This window comes from Homo sapiens, chromosome X, assembly GCF_000001405.40.
Source record: "Homo sapiens chromosome X, GRCh38.p14 Primary Assembly".
Lineage (NCBI taxonomy): Eukaryota > Metazoa > Chordata > Mammalia > Primates > Hominidae > Homo > Homo sapiens.
In genome coordinates, this window is record NC_000023.11 from 27,994,795 (window position 1) to 28,010,345 (window position 15,551).

The 15,551-nt window shown below is 37.0% G+C and overlaps 1 long non-coding RNA gene across 1 annotated transcript in view; it reads left to right on the plus strand.

Annotated features, from left to right (window-relative positions):
- The window catches only part of LOC105373151 (uncharacterized), a 67,568-nt gene that overhangs the window by 10,911 nt on the left and 41,106 nt on the right, over positions 1-15,551 (plus strand). Inside the window, exon 2 of the long non-coding RNA XR_950539.2 lies at positions 6,033-6,158. This is a non-coding gene — a long non-coding RNA (uncharacterized LOC105373151). The remainder of the gene's footprint in view (positions 1-6,032; positions 6,159-15,551) is intronic.

Below are 15,551 nucleotides of genomic sequence, written 5' to 3' on the forward strand. Positions count from 1 at the left end.
CAGGCTTGTGTCACCACGCCCAGCTAATTTTGTATTTTTAGTAGAGACAGGGTTTCTCCATGTTGGTCAAGCTGGTCTCGAACTCCCAACCTCAGGTGATCTGCCCGCCTTGGTCTCCCAGAGTGTAGGGATTACAGGTGTGAGCTACTGTACCCGGCCTTGTCTTTTATTTTTAATGTTTTGAACTTTTTATTTATTTGCAGTACTTTTGCAGTACTTTTAAACAATAAGGGCATTTATGAACTATATTAGTTATAACTATATTATAATTATATAAAATTAATGTTGAAATAAGGACTGTATGGCCCAGTAAGCCAAAAATATTTACCATCTGGTCCTTTACAGAAAAAGCCTGCTGACCCCTGTCTTCAGTAATTTTATAACCATTGTATAATTCTAGTTATTCTAATAATTATATTATATATATTATATTATATATTAACTTTAATAATATAGTTATTAATAACTATATTATATATTATCTAATATAATTATATAATTATAACTATATTATAAAATATATAAATATATAATTATAACTATATTATAAAATATATAATTATATAATTATAACTATATTATAATTATAACTATACTAGTTATAATTCATCTTTGAATAAGTAAATGCCTTTGGGTCAACAGTCCAAGCAGATTTCAGTTATATGGAACAGAAATGCCTCCAATTAATTTAAGAAGAACAAATTTAAAGCAAATTAGAAGAGCTAAAGGAATGGTCTGACAGGCATTATTCCATGATAAGCAACACAGAACTGATCTTCCAGTGGAGTTACTAGCTCTTCTTTTACGTTGACTTCAAGTACATATCATTGTAGCTTTAATCCATTGGTCATTAAGTGGCTTCAGTTCCTGACCCTATAGCCATGCTATCCTATGCAGATGCACACCAGCACAAAATAGATGTCCCATATTCTGCCTCTTGACACCCTGAATGCTAGGAACTAACACTGAATGTTGCGGGGGAGTGTGAGGGAACATGACCTAGCTTGACAGCAGAAAAAATAGAAACAACACTTCCTCATTCCAAAATTCATATGAATGCATCTAATTGGCAGAACGTACATAAGTTTCACGTCCCTAGCTACAAGGGAGCTAGAAAATAGGGCTTTTAGCTTTCTAAACTCTGAAGCACAGAAGAACAAACTAAAATGATATTGAAATGAGTATTAAGTCCCAATCAAACATATCTACTACAACCAAGCTTTAATTAAATACAATGAGGGAGAAGTACCCAGGAGATGAGTTGAGAAAGTAAGCATCTTAGGTTTAGAGCAACAGAATTAAAATTCTTTGTCTCTGACACTCAATGCTGAGAGTATTTCCACTTACCAGTTGTGAGGAGGCCTGACTCTCAGTGAATCCAGCCCTTCAGTGAGTCTCTATATGGTGATTTTTCTCCCACCACTCTTCAGCTAACCAAGATCAGCAACTATAGAGCTAAATCCTCAGCCATGATGAAAATCTGCTTTCTCTCATGATGACATGTCTGTCTAATTTGATTATTACCTTTCCCTGACATTTCTTGGCATCATGTGAGTTCTGCCTCACGTCTATAACTTGTCTAAAGTCCATGTAGTTATGGTTCAGTGGATAGATCGCCAGTTTAGAAGATCACCAACTTCTGAACGGCTCTGCAAGTTAGATGCCTGATGACTGAAAAGGCAAATAACCTCTTTGAGGATTTTATCTGGTTTGGTCCAAATTTTACTCTAATTCATTGAGGACTTGATGATTTCTTTTGTTTATTTGTTTCATCATTTGATTTTTTACTTCTTTATTTTTCCATGATTTTTGTTGTCAATTGTTTTCAAGGAAAGAAGTGATACAATTTTATGTATCTATTTCCAATCTCATTAACTAATCAAGTAAGCATGTTATAGATAATTTGGCCCGTGGAGAAAATAAGAAAAGAAATAAAAGGTATCAATTGTTTTCAACTATCTGATGAAAAAATATGGGATCCTAGAAAGATAAAATCATAGATTATAACTCAAAAAAAGCCCTAAAAGCCAGTTAATTCCCAACTTCTTTATTTCATAAGATTGGGAAACTAATAGAAACACATTTGTTCATGCTATGCTTTTTCAATTCACATTGCAGGACAGGAGAAAACAAACTTAAAACATGTACAAACAGTACTCTCAAGTTAGAAGCCAAAGAATTTCTAGTATACGTGCTAAGTAGGACATTGGAAGCAGATTTAGTTAATTCTGTAGATTCAGAAGCAAAATAGTTCCAACAACTAGTTGTATTATGTTTCAGCAAAGCTGGTTCAATCCTGAACTATTCTGATGGCTAGAGTCTCATAAATGCAAGCTGCTCATTTATAAAGTGGTCCTGTGTAGAGCGACCACAGATGAAAAACAGCTACTGTGTCCTTCAGGCTTTTCAATTTCTTTAAACAAATCTGTCTGTGTCAGTGTGTTATTCATAGCAATTTCAATTTCTCTGAATATATTTTGGGCCAGAAATGGAAAAGGAATTAATAACAAAGGGACATGGGAAAAGACTGAGGCAGATATTGTGGGCATAGGACTTCTAAAAAGATAATCTTTCAACCATGTGTTTTCTTAATACCTGTAATAGTCACAAAAGAGTGATTAAAGAAACCATATCTGATCTTAAAAGCATAACATATCCATGTTTATTTTTGATTATGTGAGCAAGGGTATCCCACAAAGAAATTAGAAAGAAACATATAAAAGCAAGTTGATAAGATGGACAGTTAATAGGAATGCTCTAGATAGAGATTTTAGCTCAGTTCAGAAGATGTGCAAAAACTGATTTCCCTCAACACTAAAAGTAAGCGTTAAAAATCTCCCATGCTAGTCAATTACAGTGTTCATTCTCCAACAGTTTTCAGCCTGTGGGCAGTGAAGTTGGAATTAAAGAGCAATCACCTTATAAAAAGAGCTTAATGTAGTTTACAACCCTTATTTATATCATCTTCTTAAATGCTGGAATGCTTCATTCAATATAGTATAGCATAGACTATTTTTATAAGTCTTGCTTATAAAACTGCAATCACTGTGCAATTAAAATACCACTGCAATTAAAGTGTGTGTAATGGAACATTCAGAAATGCACACATGACTTTCCTTTATAACCACCAAGGGAAACATTTTATATTCAAGTCTTCCGACTTATAAGATTCATTCGGCTAACAAGGGAACTTCTTTATTCACACAATATCTTTACACACACACACACACACACACACACACACACACATCTACTGTGGGGTGTTATATGTTTACAAACATCCAAATGAAAATTTCAGAAGTTTATGTTTTCAAAGTTTGAATTGCTATGTGAAGATAAAATTCATTTGGTGGTATTTTTAGATTGTTCTTTTATTTCTTTATTTTTTTCAAATGAGAAGAGAAAGTGAGCAACATCACTGCACCAGATATTACACTAATTGCTTTATGTAAGTTATTTTAATTGAATCCCAAAAAAGGTTGGCAAGGTAGTTCTTTTCTTTCAGTTTCAAAGGGGAGGAGATTTAGGTTTGAAGAGGCAAAGTTACTTGCAGCTAATAAGTTTTGGGGCTGGAATGCAAACTTAGGTCTCTCTAGTAGCAAAACTCTTGTTCAAATATAAACTCCATTCGCTTAGCATTATTTCTACTGTAAATATATATAGTTAATGTATTTGGAAATTTTTTTAGTTATTAGACAGACTCTGTGTGAAAAATTCCCCATGCATTTTGAATGTGTTTTACCTAAATATAGACACAACCTTACAGATGATCCAGCTTCACATCCTTATTTTTAAAGGAAAGGTTATGGGAATCTGGGAATTTGAGGTGATTATCTCAAGTTCTCAACAAGTGAAAAAGGAGAGTCAAGTTCAGAATCCTAGAAAACCTAACAACCAGCTTGTTTTTTATTGATTTCAAGTTGCCAAGAACCTTTAGTTTAATGACTATGTAAGTATTGTAGATTCCAAATGTTGATTATGAATATTTCAGCATATTAGCTCAACAAATCTGGATTGAACAACCACTTACATACCACATTAAGCACCAAGGGCACAGATATTACTAGGCATTCCTGAGTTGATCTTCCAGATTACTAGGCATTCCTATGTTGATTTTCCAGATGATCTCATTTTTTCTCTGCATAATAAGATAAACTACTGCAGAGGATTGCTGTGAAGATTAAGTGAGAAAATTTATGTGAAATACTTAAAACAATCCATAACATATAGTTAATAGTTAAGTATTATTATCGCTAATATCATCAAACTAGCCCTCCTACTCTCCATCCATTGCATGCGTGCACTGCCTATCTCCCCTGTGGAGATACAGTTCTATTTCCTAAAGCTGCTTACAAAACAAAAAGAACTGTAATAGATAAGTTAAGTAAAGGGTACGCTGCATTTGATTTGAGAATAGAGCGAATTTAGATTGTTAAAAAAAACTTTTCTCTTTGATTTCTTCTAAGGACTGTGGTGCACAGCCCCTAAGGTGACCCTCATGATTCCCAGTCTCTGATATTTCATGCCCTTTATAATCCCCTCCCTTAGAGTGTGGATAGGACCTGTGACTTGCTCTAGCCATAAAATATGGCAAAGGTGAAGGGACTTTGTGGATGTAATTAAGATCCCAAATCAGTATATACTGAAATAATCATAAGGGAGAGTACCCAAGATGTGTCTGACCTAATCAGATGAATCCCTTTAAAATGAGTCTAGGATGGTCCTCCCTGAGGTGACTTGTAAAAGTATGTGGCCGTGTTGACAAAGCCTATGTGGCAGGAACTAGAACAGGTGTGTCCAATTTTTTGGCTTCCCTGGGCCACATTGGAAGAAGAATTGTCTTGGGCCACACACAAAATACACTAACACTAATGATAGCTGATGAGCTTTTAAAAAATTGCAAAAAAAAAAAAAAAAAAAAAAAAACTCATAATGTTTTCAGAAAGTTTACAAATTTGTGTTGGGCCCCATTCAAAGCCGTCCCGGGCTCACGCTACCTGTGGGCCGCGGGTTGGACAAACTTGCTCTAGAACCTAAAGGCAGCCTCTGGTTGACAGATAGCAAAACCTCAGGACCCTCAGTCATACGGGTGCAAGGAAATTAATTCTTCCAACAAACTGAAATGGTTTAGAAGCAGATTTTTTCCTGTCAGGCCTCCAGACAAGAATATAGCCCAGTCAACACCTTGATTGACGTCTTGTGAGAATCTGAGAAGAAACCTGTATTTCTGACCCATGAAAACTGTGAGATAATAAATATGTGTGGTATTAAGCTGCTAAATTGGTGATAATTTGTTACAGAGCGTAGAAACTAATATGGGGTTATGCTTTATTTCATTTGTCCTTCTCCAAAGCATTAATGGTGTTGCAGACTAGAAGCAAAGAATAAGACACTTCCATATGGACGGGAAGGAAAGAATAGCTTTTTAGTTTACATATTAGGGAATAAAACAATAGAGAAAACAATTCTTCAGTTTGGACAGTAATTTTCTTGTAATTAACTTTAAACCACCAAGCAAGTTACCTCTGACCAGAGATTTCTTCATGTTTAGCCCATTTCTTTCCCTGAAATGCCCACTCCTACCTGTTCCTGTGCTTCAACACAATGAAGGAAATTTTTTAAATGCTGCTGTCCTAATGATAACACAGAATTGTCCAAATGTCTTCATATAAATGGTCTAATTTGAGTTCCATAACAATTTTGTGAGGCAAGAACAAAACAAATGTGAGATTCTCAAATTCAGGTGGCATAGTTGTAAACTCAGTGGTCATCCATGGTTCTGAAAGCATCAGAGGCCCTCAGAAAGTGCTTAAATGAAACAGAATTATTTTGTCAGTTGCAAAATATTATGGTTCTAAGAGAATAAATGACTTGCCCCGCAAAGCCTGTACCCAAAAGTACAAGAATTAAAACTCAGGCCATCCACAACAGAGGCCATTTTTTTTTGTGATAGTATTTTACCTCTAAAAAGGAAACACATTTAGCTATTAACAGCCATTAACCTTTCTGCTTAAATTTGCATCTCCCCTTAGCAGAGAACCCTGAAGGAAGAGGTGCCAGGAGAGATGAAAGGAAATATCATGGGAATGGAGTGCTGTTCAGCCTGCGGAATGTCTGGAATATCTGAGAAGCAGCAGGACAACAGTCGATGCCTCTAGGTAGATGTGCCTTCTGACAAAGCGAAGATGGGTTGGTAAACAAAATGTTAACATTTTAAGGAAAATTACCTGTTTATTACTTTTTCTAGCATGGCCTTTGAAAATGCAAAGCAATAATTGTCCTTTTGAAAATGGATTTCCAAAAGCATTGAAAAATAATTTTGCTTACCAACACTTTATCTTATTCTGATGTAACCTCAAGCAATGCTTCATCATTTAAGTCCCTGTCTCAATGAGAGTACTGGATTGCTTTGGAAACTATATTATTCGATGCTGAAGAAAATAACAATCGAAGCTGAATATCAGTAGCATCATCATGCTGTCCTGAATATGAGGCTATGTGTGTTCTGTCACCCCAAGCCTCCTTGTTCTTATTCAGTATAAATATATGCTTTTTTAGGTTTTTCCATGCACAAAGGCAGTGGTCATTGAGGAGAAATCAAGATTTCTTAAGTCAGGAGTGTAATAGTCTTGATGCTTTTTAGCCAAAGACCATAAGGAAACACACCTGGAGTTATTACTTGCTGTAACAGGGAAAACTGCCCAACAAGGTGGCATGTCTACAAAAGGCTAGTAGGAGGAGCTTATCATAAGATTAGGGCCTGAGGTGCTTTTGGTAAATTTTCAAAGAAGCAGACATTTTACCTGGATTGGGTGCTGTCAGAAATCTGAGGCAATTTGGTGACAGGTACCTTAATAATTTTTATCCAAGAGGCGTGAAAGATGAACTGGGACTGTAATGGGTAAAAAAGCAGCAGCCATTCTTATAAGCTGGGAGAGGGATAAGTTTGGACAATTTTTAAAAACTTTTCTTTTAGGTTCAGGTGTACATGTGCATATACATTCAGGTGTACATATATAGGTAAGTTGCATATTGTAGGGGTTTGGTGTACAGATTATTTTGCCACCCAGATGATAAGCATAGTATCTGATAAGGTAGTTTTTCGATCCTCACCCTCCTCCCTCCCTCCACCCTCAAGTAAGTCCCCATGTCCGCTGTTAGCTTCTTTGTGTCCATATGTGCTCAATGTTTAGCTCCCACTTATAGTGAGAACATGCAGTATTTGGTTTTCTGTTCCTATGTTAGTCCACTTAGAATAATTGCTTCCAGCTCCATCCATGTTGCTGCAAAGGACATAATATTGTTCTTTTTCATGGCAATGCGGTATTCCAGAAAGAAAAAAGAAGTATTCCATAAGGAAAATATGTACCATATTTTCTTTATCCAGTCTACCGTTGATGCGCATTTAAGTTGATTCTATGTCTTTACTACTGTGAATAGCGCTGCAATGAACATACCCGTGCATATTTTTTTGTTTGTTTGCAGAGTTCTTGTTTCTATCTGAGCTCCGGCATGATTACAGAGTGGTCATGTTTTTGTCTCACTCCATTGTGGATACAAACTGAACTCAATTGATGTTAGTCTTCTGTGAGTTCATGTTCATCAAGAGAAGACCATAGCCAGCTACCATATGACACCTGTTAGGGATGCTTTTTTCTTTCTCAGCAGGCATCTAGGTTGTTAATAGAATGTAACCTCTTGCCCATTCTGAGATTTTGATTCAGGTAGGGCTGACTCTGTCTCCCTCCCTGTGGATGGCCACTTGGCTTAGGTCTGATTGATGAGATTTCTGTATCTCTCAGTTTACAGGTATTGGTTAAGGGAAGAGTACTTGACCCAAGGTGGGCCAATGACAGCCTACATCCACAGAACTTTTGATGAAGCTACCTGGAAAAAGGTGTACTGATTTGATTAATGAGGCCATTTAGGCCTAGAGGTTATAAAGGGTTAACATTTTGTTCTACCTCTTCACTAACAGTTGCAAGCTCCTAGCCTAAAGCAATAGGTCTTCCTGCTAAACACAAAACTAGACTTTCTTAAACTGTCCATTTTCTTCGCTAAATTTGAACAGGAGTATGTACTTTCTCAGAATTGCTTATCTGTAGAACATCTACCTCGGAAAATTAACAACTGTCCATTTGTTTTGCCCCATATATCACATAGTTTTTTATTCCCTTTCTCCTAAACACCTGAGTGCTTATAACACATAAACACTCAGCTAACTGCTAGAAGGCACAGCAATCTCATTTAAGACTGGCTCTCCTACCACCAGGCAATAAAAGCTTTCTTGTTGCTCCACTTTGGAAGTCTTTATTTGAGACTCCTTCAGGAAGGTGCTGGTGGTCATTTTTATCTCTGTATGGGAAGAGCTTTCTGCAGAAATAAAGAGGAAAGCCAAGCCAAAACATGGAGAAAGAAAATATCATGATAAGGGAATTTGATCTTGTGAATATTTCCTCTACTCAAAGCCAAAAGCACCTCTGAAACTCTTAGTTCCAAGCACTGATAAATTAACCTTTTTGATTAAAGTATTTTGCATTGGGTTTCTGTTACCTCCAACATGAACATACGTTTCCATTCTCCCCACACAAACACTTTCAGGTGCATCAAGTATCTCCAATAAAACCAGACTTAGATAAGAGAGACTTTATTTAGAAGGAAATACTATTGCAAAAGGGAGAACACTGTAATCTAGGAAATCTGTGTCTCAGAATCAAACCGAAGGTTTTTCTTCTATAGTATAAAGGAGGGGCAAGCAGTGATAAGCACAATCTTTTAAAGGGAAGCTGGACAAACAAGGGGAAATGATCAATGTGGCTTGCCTGGAAAAGTACCTTGCTATGGTCAGCTGATTCCCAGGATAAGCTGACAACGGGGGCACACTTCATTTTTTAGTGTTTGCTAAGGCTTTAGGGCAATCAGAGTTCAGGGTCCTGTAGGAAAGAGAGAAGCCTAACTAAAATTTGGTCAAGACAAAGTGGAGGGTAAGAAATGGGCAACTGTGGGCACTTACTTGGTCAAGTACAATATGACCATTTTGGGTTATGAGGATCCACCAGTGTCTCGGTGAAAAATATAATAGTAACTTTTTTTTCTTTTTAAAGGTTTATTACATTAGGCTGCCAAATAAGAGATTTAATGTTTAATCTCCAATTTCTTAAATTTAACAGATGTACCTGCTCCTATGAAATAACACCTTGTTTTAGGTGTTATCCTTTCATTTAAGATAGTATAAAATAACTTAAATCCTGACTCTATGAACAATGAGAAACAGAGTCATCAGCAAAAATCTATGAGGATTTCCAGGGAGGGAGAAGGAAAGGAGTTTATTGTCCCTGATGCAGTTTACACTGTAGCCTTCTCCTCCACAACTATTTGACTCCCATTGGTAATTTGAGCTCCAGAGATTCATTCCTGCCATTAAGGGGAAGATAAAATGCCTCTCAACTTTCTCCATGAAATTCTTTCTCTATTACCCCTGTTTCTGCAACCTTAACCCGTGTATATATGCTGAAGTCGGTGAGCAAGTAGCATTTTAAAACTTGTGTTTCACACTCTTCTTTACAAGCCCTACATAGATGGTTTTCTCATGCTTCAGAATAGGAGGTTATTTGTTCTTATTTTCTTGTAGCTTCAGACACAAATGAGACTAAAATAGCTCTGTTTAACATTCTGAATGGATTATTCATACAGAAGTCAAAATAGGTAAATATAAACTGGAAAAATTATAATTAAATTATCATATATGATATTTTTAAAATTCCAGTTATTGAATATGCACAGACTACTGTGATAACGGGAGAGTAATTGACAAGGTTACAAAGAAAAAAGATTAGTTGGCATTTCATTTTTCATGTGTCAGTCATTTATTAATTTTTTTTGTTTTTCCTGAGACGGAGTCTTGCTCTGTCGCCGCGGCTGGAGTGCAGTGGCATGATCTCGGCTCACTTCAACCTCTGCCCCCGAGGTTTAAGCAATTTTCCTGCTTCACCCTCCAGAGTAGCTGGAATTACAGGCGACCGCCACCACGCCCAGCTAATTTTTGTATTTTTAGTAGAGATGGAGTTTCCCCATGTTGACCAGGCTGGTCTTGAAATCCTGACCTTGTGATCTGCCTGCCTGGGCATCCCAAAGTGCTAGAATTACAGGTGTGAGCCACTGCACCTAGCCAATATGTCAATCATGGACTTTTAAACACACTTTTTATATTCTTAATTCTCAGATCCACAGCATTCATACTAAGGATGATTTTGTTGAACTGCACATCATAGAGAGTTACTATTGTTGATAACAATGTAGTTTTTTTTTCCAGATCTACACCCACTGTGAGAATGTTATTAGGGTGTGTTACTGTTCTCACCCACCAATCCAAAGCTATCTTAATAGGTAAATTAATTTTTGAGAAGATATTTTGTATTTCACTCATAAATGCTAATCAGAATTTCTGAATTGCAACAGAGTAAGAAAACACTTAGTTTCTCCATAATAAATAAAAAGAAATCTGGCTTAATTTAACTGAAAGATAAGTGTGAATTTTTAAAAAATTTGAAACACCAATTTTTTGTTGTTGTCGATGGCTGAATTCTTTTTAAATTTTTTTTAAATTTTGTATTTCCATAGGTTTTGGGGGGATAGCTGGTATTTGGTTACATGAGTAAGTTTTTTAGTAGTGATTTTTGAGATTTTGATGAAACACTATTATTTAATATCAAATGGTACTAAATAAAAATCAGCAGAAATACATTTAACAAATGTTCAAAATACCCATAGAAGGAGAAATTGTAGTATTAGATATTAAGAGGCACTACAATGTTTTTGTTTCAATAGGGTATTCCTTAACCATTTTCATGTAGACCAAGGAATATGTTACTATTGTCCAAATGACAGAATTAAAGGCTCATACTGCCTTTTCACAATTCAGGCTAAAAATTAAGGCAGGTCTTTGCTAATGGATAAATTGTTTATTTTACAGTTTTCCACTAGGAAGAAGAGAAATTGAGCTTAATTAGTAGACCCTAAACCAAACTTTCCATATTTATCTTATGCATTTCATAACTACTTCATATTTATTTTAATATGTTTCAATTAATTAAAACTATAGAGTTATGTATTCACATAAAATTAAGACATGGAGGTAAAATTGTTCTTGTATTTTTGTAGCTATCTTTATTTGTTCTTGTCTTTATGTGGCTGATGATGCAGCGAAAATGCCTGCCTCAGTGCATCACCAAGAATTCATTCTGAAGTTTTCATCTCAGTTCAATAATATTATACTTCAACAGACTCAGATGTGAAGCACTGTACTAAGTTCTATAGGGAGACATGCTTGCCCTCAAGAATCCAATGATCATTTAAAGCATAGAGTAGATATAGTGAACAGGTATAATCCACGTGTATTAGCAAGCTTATCAAAATAAACCATAGATGAACTGATATTATTGAGGATTTTATACATGGCCTTTGGACCATAACGATAAAGTCAAGTAAAGATTACACTTTTGTATCTCTGTTTCTGGCTAAAGGTAGCACACCATAGAAATAATCATGCAAACCAAACAGAAACAAACAAATCTCACCAGCCGTAAGTAGACAAATCTGGAATAAAAATCTGTCAGTGGGTGGACAAGGATACTTTTTTATTATCTCTGAGTAGCAATTTCCTCCTTTGAAAAATGAAGTTATCCATTGTCTAAAACAGAATTATGCAGAGATCTGTGCATGACACATATTGTAAGCATTTTATAAATATAGTTCTTATTACAATGCATATAGTAACATATGATGGCAAATATATAAGTGGTGCTGTCCATGAAGGTAAAAAAACTTTTTCTTGAAAACTAACTGAAGGGAATAAAAAGAAGTTAAAATAAGAGAGTATGTAATCAGCTCTAAACTAAAGAAGGAAGTCAAAATTTAAATTCCAAGCTTAGACAATATCTTTTAACAATTTTGATTGTATTGACAAAGAAATTCTGGGCTCCACTTCTAAATAGAATGATATAGAATAAATAAGCATACAAGAAAGAAAAACATTTACTAATATATCCAAATATAAAAAGTCTATTTTAGGTATGGGGATACCCCCTCATAGAAACTAGGCAGAATGTCTCCTCATAGAACCTAGTGCAGTGAAAAGATATAATGTGTGAAATGACTTAAAGAAATAGTCTAAGCTTGCATTAGAAGTTCAACCAATCCATAACATTTTTTATCCATCTATTTTCAGCTCTTCAGCTCATATCAAAGAAGAAAATTCATAGTGTCCAAGTAGCTAGTGAAGAAAGCCAAACTGAATTTGATTATATCATTTTGGTGCAAGGAGAAAGTCCAGAGAGATTTCTCCCATCTAGCATTTAAAAATATCTGTATACATGCTGTATTAGTCCATTTTCACACTGCTATAAAGAATAACTGAGACTGGGTCATTTATAAAGACAAGAGGTTTAATTGACTCACAGTTCTAAATGGCTGGGGAGTCCTCAGGAAATTTACAATCATGGTTGATGGTGAAGGGGAAGCAAGCACCTTCTTCACAAGGTAGAAGGAGAGAGAGAGACAACAGGGGAAACTGCCACTTTTAAATCATCAGATCTCCTGATAACTCCTTTACTGTCATGAGAACAGCATGGGGAAATCCACCCACATGATCCAATCATCTCCCACTAGGTCCCTCTCTCGACATGCGGGGATTTAATTCAAGATAAGATTTTGAGTGGGGACAGAGAGCCAAACCATATCGTTCGGCCCTTGGCCCCTCCCAAATCTCATGTCAGTTTCACTTTTCAAAACAAATCATGCCTTTCCAACAGTCCCCCAAAGTCTTAACTCATTCAAGCATTAACTCTAAAGTCCAGGTTACAAGTCTCATCTGAGATAAGGCAAGTCCCTTCTGATTATGAGCCTGTAAAATAAAAGACAAGTTAGTTACTTCCAGGATACAATAGGGTGCAGGCATTGGGTAAATGTTCCCATTCCAAAATGGAGAAATTGGCCAAAACAAAATGGCTACAGGCCCCATGCAAGTCCAAAACTCGGCAGGGCACTCATTAAATCTTAAAGTTTCAAAATAATCTCCTTTTGACTCCATGTCATCCAGGGCCGTGGTGATGCAAGGGATGGGCTCCCATGGCCTTGGGCAGCTCTGCTCCTGTGGCTCTGTAGGGTACAGCCCCTGCAGCTGCTTTCAATGGGCTGCCATTGAGTGCCTGCAGCTTTTCCAGGCACATAGTGCAAGCTGTTGGTGGATCTGCCTTTCTGGGGTCTGGAAGACAGAGGCCCTCTTCTCACAACTCCACTAGGCAGTGCCCCAGTGGGGACTCTGCGTGGGGACTCCAACCCCACATTTCCTCTTTGTGATGCCCTAGCAGAGGTTCTCCATGAGGTTTCTGCTCATGCTGCAGACTTCTGCCTGGATGTCCAGGTGTTTCCATACATCCTCTGAAATCTAGGTGGAGGTTCCCAAACCTCAAATCTTGTCTTCTGCACACCTGCAGGCCCAAAACCACATGGAAGCTGCCAAGGCTAGGGGCTTGCACCTTCTAAAGCAATAGCCTAAGCTGTACCTTGGCCCCTTTTAGCCAGTGCTGGAGATGGGGGAGCTGGGATGCAGGGTGCCATGTCCTGGGGCTGCAGAGAGCAGCATGGCCCTGGGCCCAGCCCACAAAACCATGTTTTCCTCCTAGGCCTCCAGACCTGTGATGGGAGGGACTGCTGCAAAGATCTCTGACATGCCCTAGAGGCATTTCCCCCATTGTCTTGGTTATTAACATTTGGCTCCTCATTACTTATCTAAATTTCTGCAGCTGGCTTGAATTTCTCCCCAGAAAATGGGTTTTTCTTTTCTACCCCATGGTCAGGCCACAAATTTTCCAAACCTTTATGCTCTGCTTCCCTTTTAAACATAAGTTCCAATTTCAAAACTCCTCTTTGTGAATACATATAAATGAATGCTTTCAGAATAAGCCAGGTCACCTCTTGAATGCTTTGCTGCTTAGAAATTTCTTCTGCCATATACCCTAAATCACCTCTCTCAAGTTCAAAGTTCCACAGATCTCTAGAGTGGGGCAACATGCTGCCAGTCTCTTTGCTAAAGCATAGCAAGAGTGACCTTAACTCCAGTTCTTAATGAGTTCCTCATCTCCATCTGAGACCACCTCAGCCTAGACTTCATTGTCCATATCACTGTCAGCATTTTGGTCAAAACCAATCAACAAGTCTCTAGGAAGTTCTAAACTTTCCCACATCTTCCTGTCTTCTTCTGAACCCTCCAAACTTTTCCAACCTCTGTCTGTTATTCAGTTCCAAAGTTGTTTCCACATTTTCAGGTTATTTTTATAGCAGTGCCCCACTCCCAGCACCAGTTATCTGTGTTAGTCCATTTTCACACTGCTATAAAGAACTCCTGAGACTGGGTAATTTATAAAGAAAAGAGGCTTAATTAACTCACAGTTCCACATGGCTGAGTAGGCTTCAGGAAACTTACAATCATGATAGAAGCCAAAGGGGAAGCAAGGCACGTCTTACATGGAGGCAGGAGAGAGAGAGAGTGCACAGGGGAAACTGCCACTTTTAAACCATTAGATCTCTGAGAACTTCCTCACTATCACGAGAACAGCATGGGAGAAACTGCCCCCAAGATCCAATCACCTCCCACTAGGTCCCTCCCTCAACACATGGGGATTACAACTTGAAATGAGATTTGGGTGGGAACACAGAGCCAAACCATATCACATGCAATTTTTTTTTAAATGTTATTCACACACTGATTCAGCAATAATAGAAGAAACAGAACAAACTGAGAATTATGTAAAATTATAAAAGGAGGAGAAGAGAGGAGGACAAAGTGGAGGAAGAGAGAGAGGAAGAATAGAGAAGGAAGGAAGGAAGGGAGTCTGGCAAAAGAGAGAGAAGTGGAGCATACCTTAGAAGTATTCTTCTTAAAAAAAAGGTAACAAAAACAATTTAGACAACCCTTCATAGTTTCAAGCAAATTAAAAAGAAAGCTTCATCTAGGAGAACAAGGTTATGAATTACAAGATGGTATAAAAACAGGATGAAATAAAAAGAAAACTTCTAGAGTTAAGGAATTAAACAGAAGATAAAACACACAAAAATCTAAAATGCACACAAACTAGAGAAGTGCAAAAACAATGTTGCAAAGATGTGAATCAGTGGCTTAGAAGTGAGTACTGGTAAAGTTATGGAGAGAGTAAAGAGCAAGTATAGTGGCTGGTCTGTTAAAAAAAATACCTGGAACAGAAAATAAGTGTTTAAAAAATGTAAGTTTTTCTATAATGAAAGAAGACCCAATATTGAATCTGAAAGAGCTTACTGTGTACTGAGACAATTCATAAAGAATATCAGTGCTAACATATATCCTAGTGAAATGACCAAAAGTCCTATAAGCAGTCAGAGAAAAACTGGGCCATTAAGTTGGGGGTAAATGCTAAGACAAACTACTATTTCTCTTCAAGAACAGCAGATGTGAGAAGTAAAAAAGAACTATACCTACTGAATTTTTAACAAATAGTATTTATTTTTCCGGCTTTTTA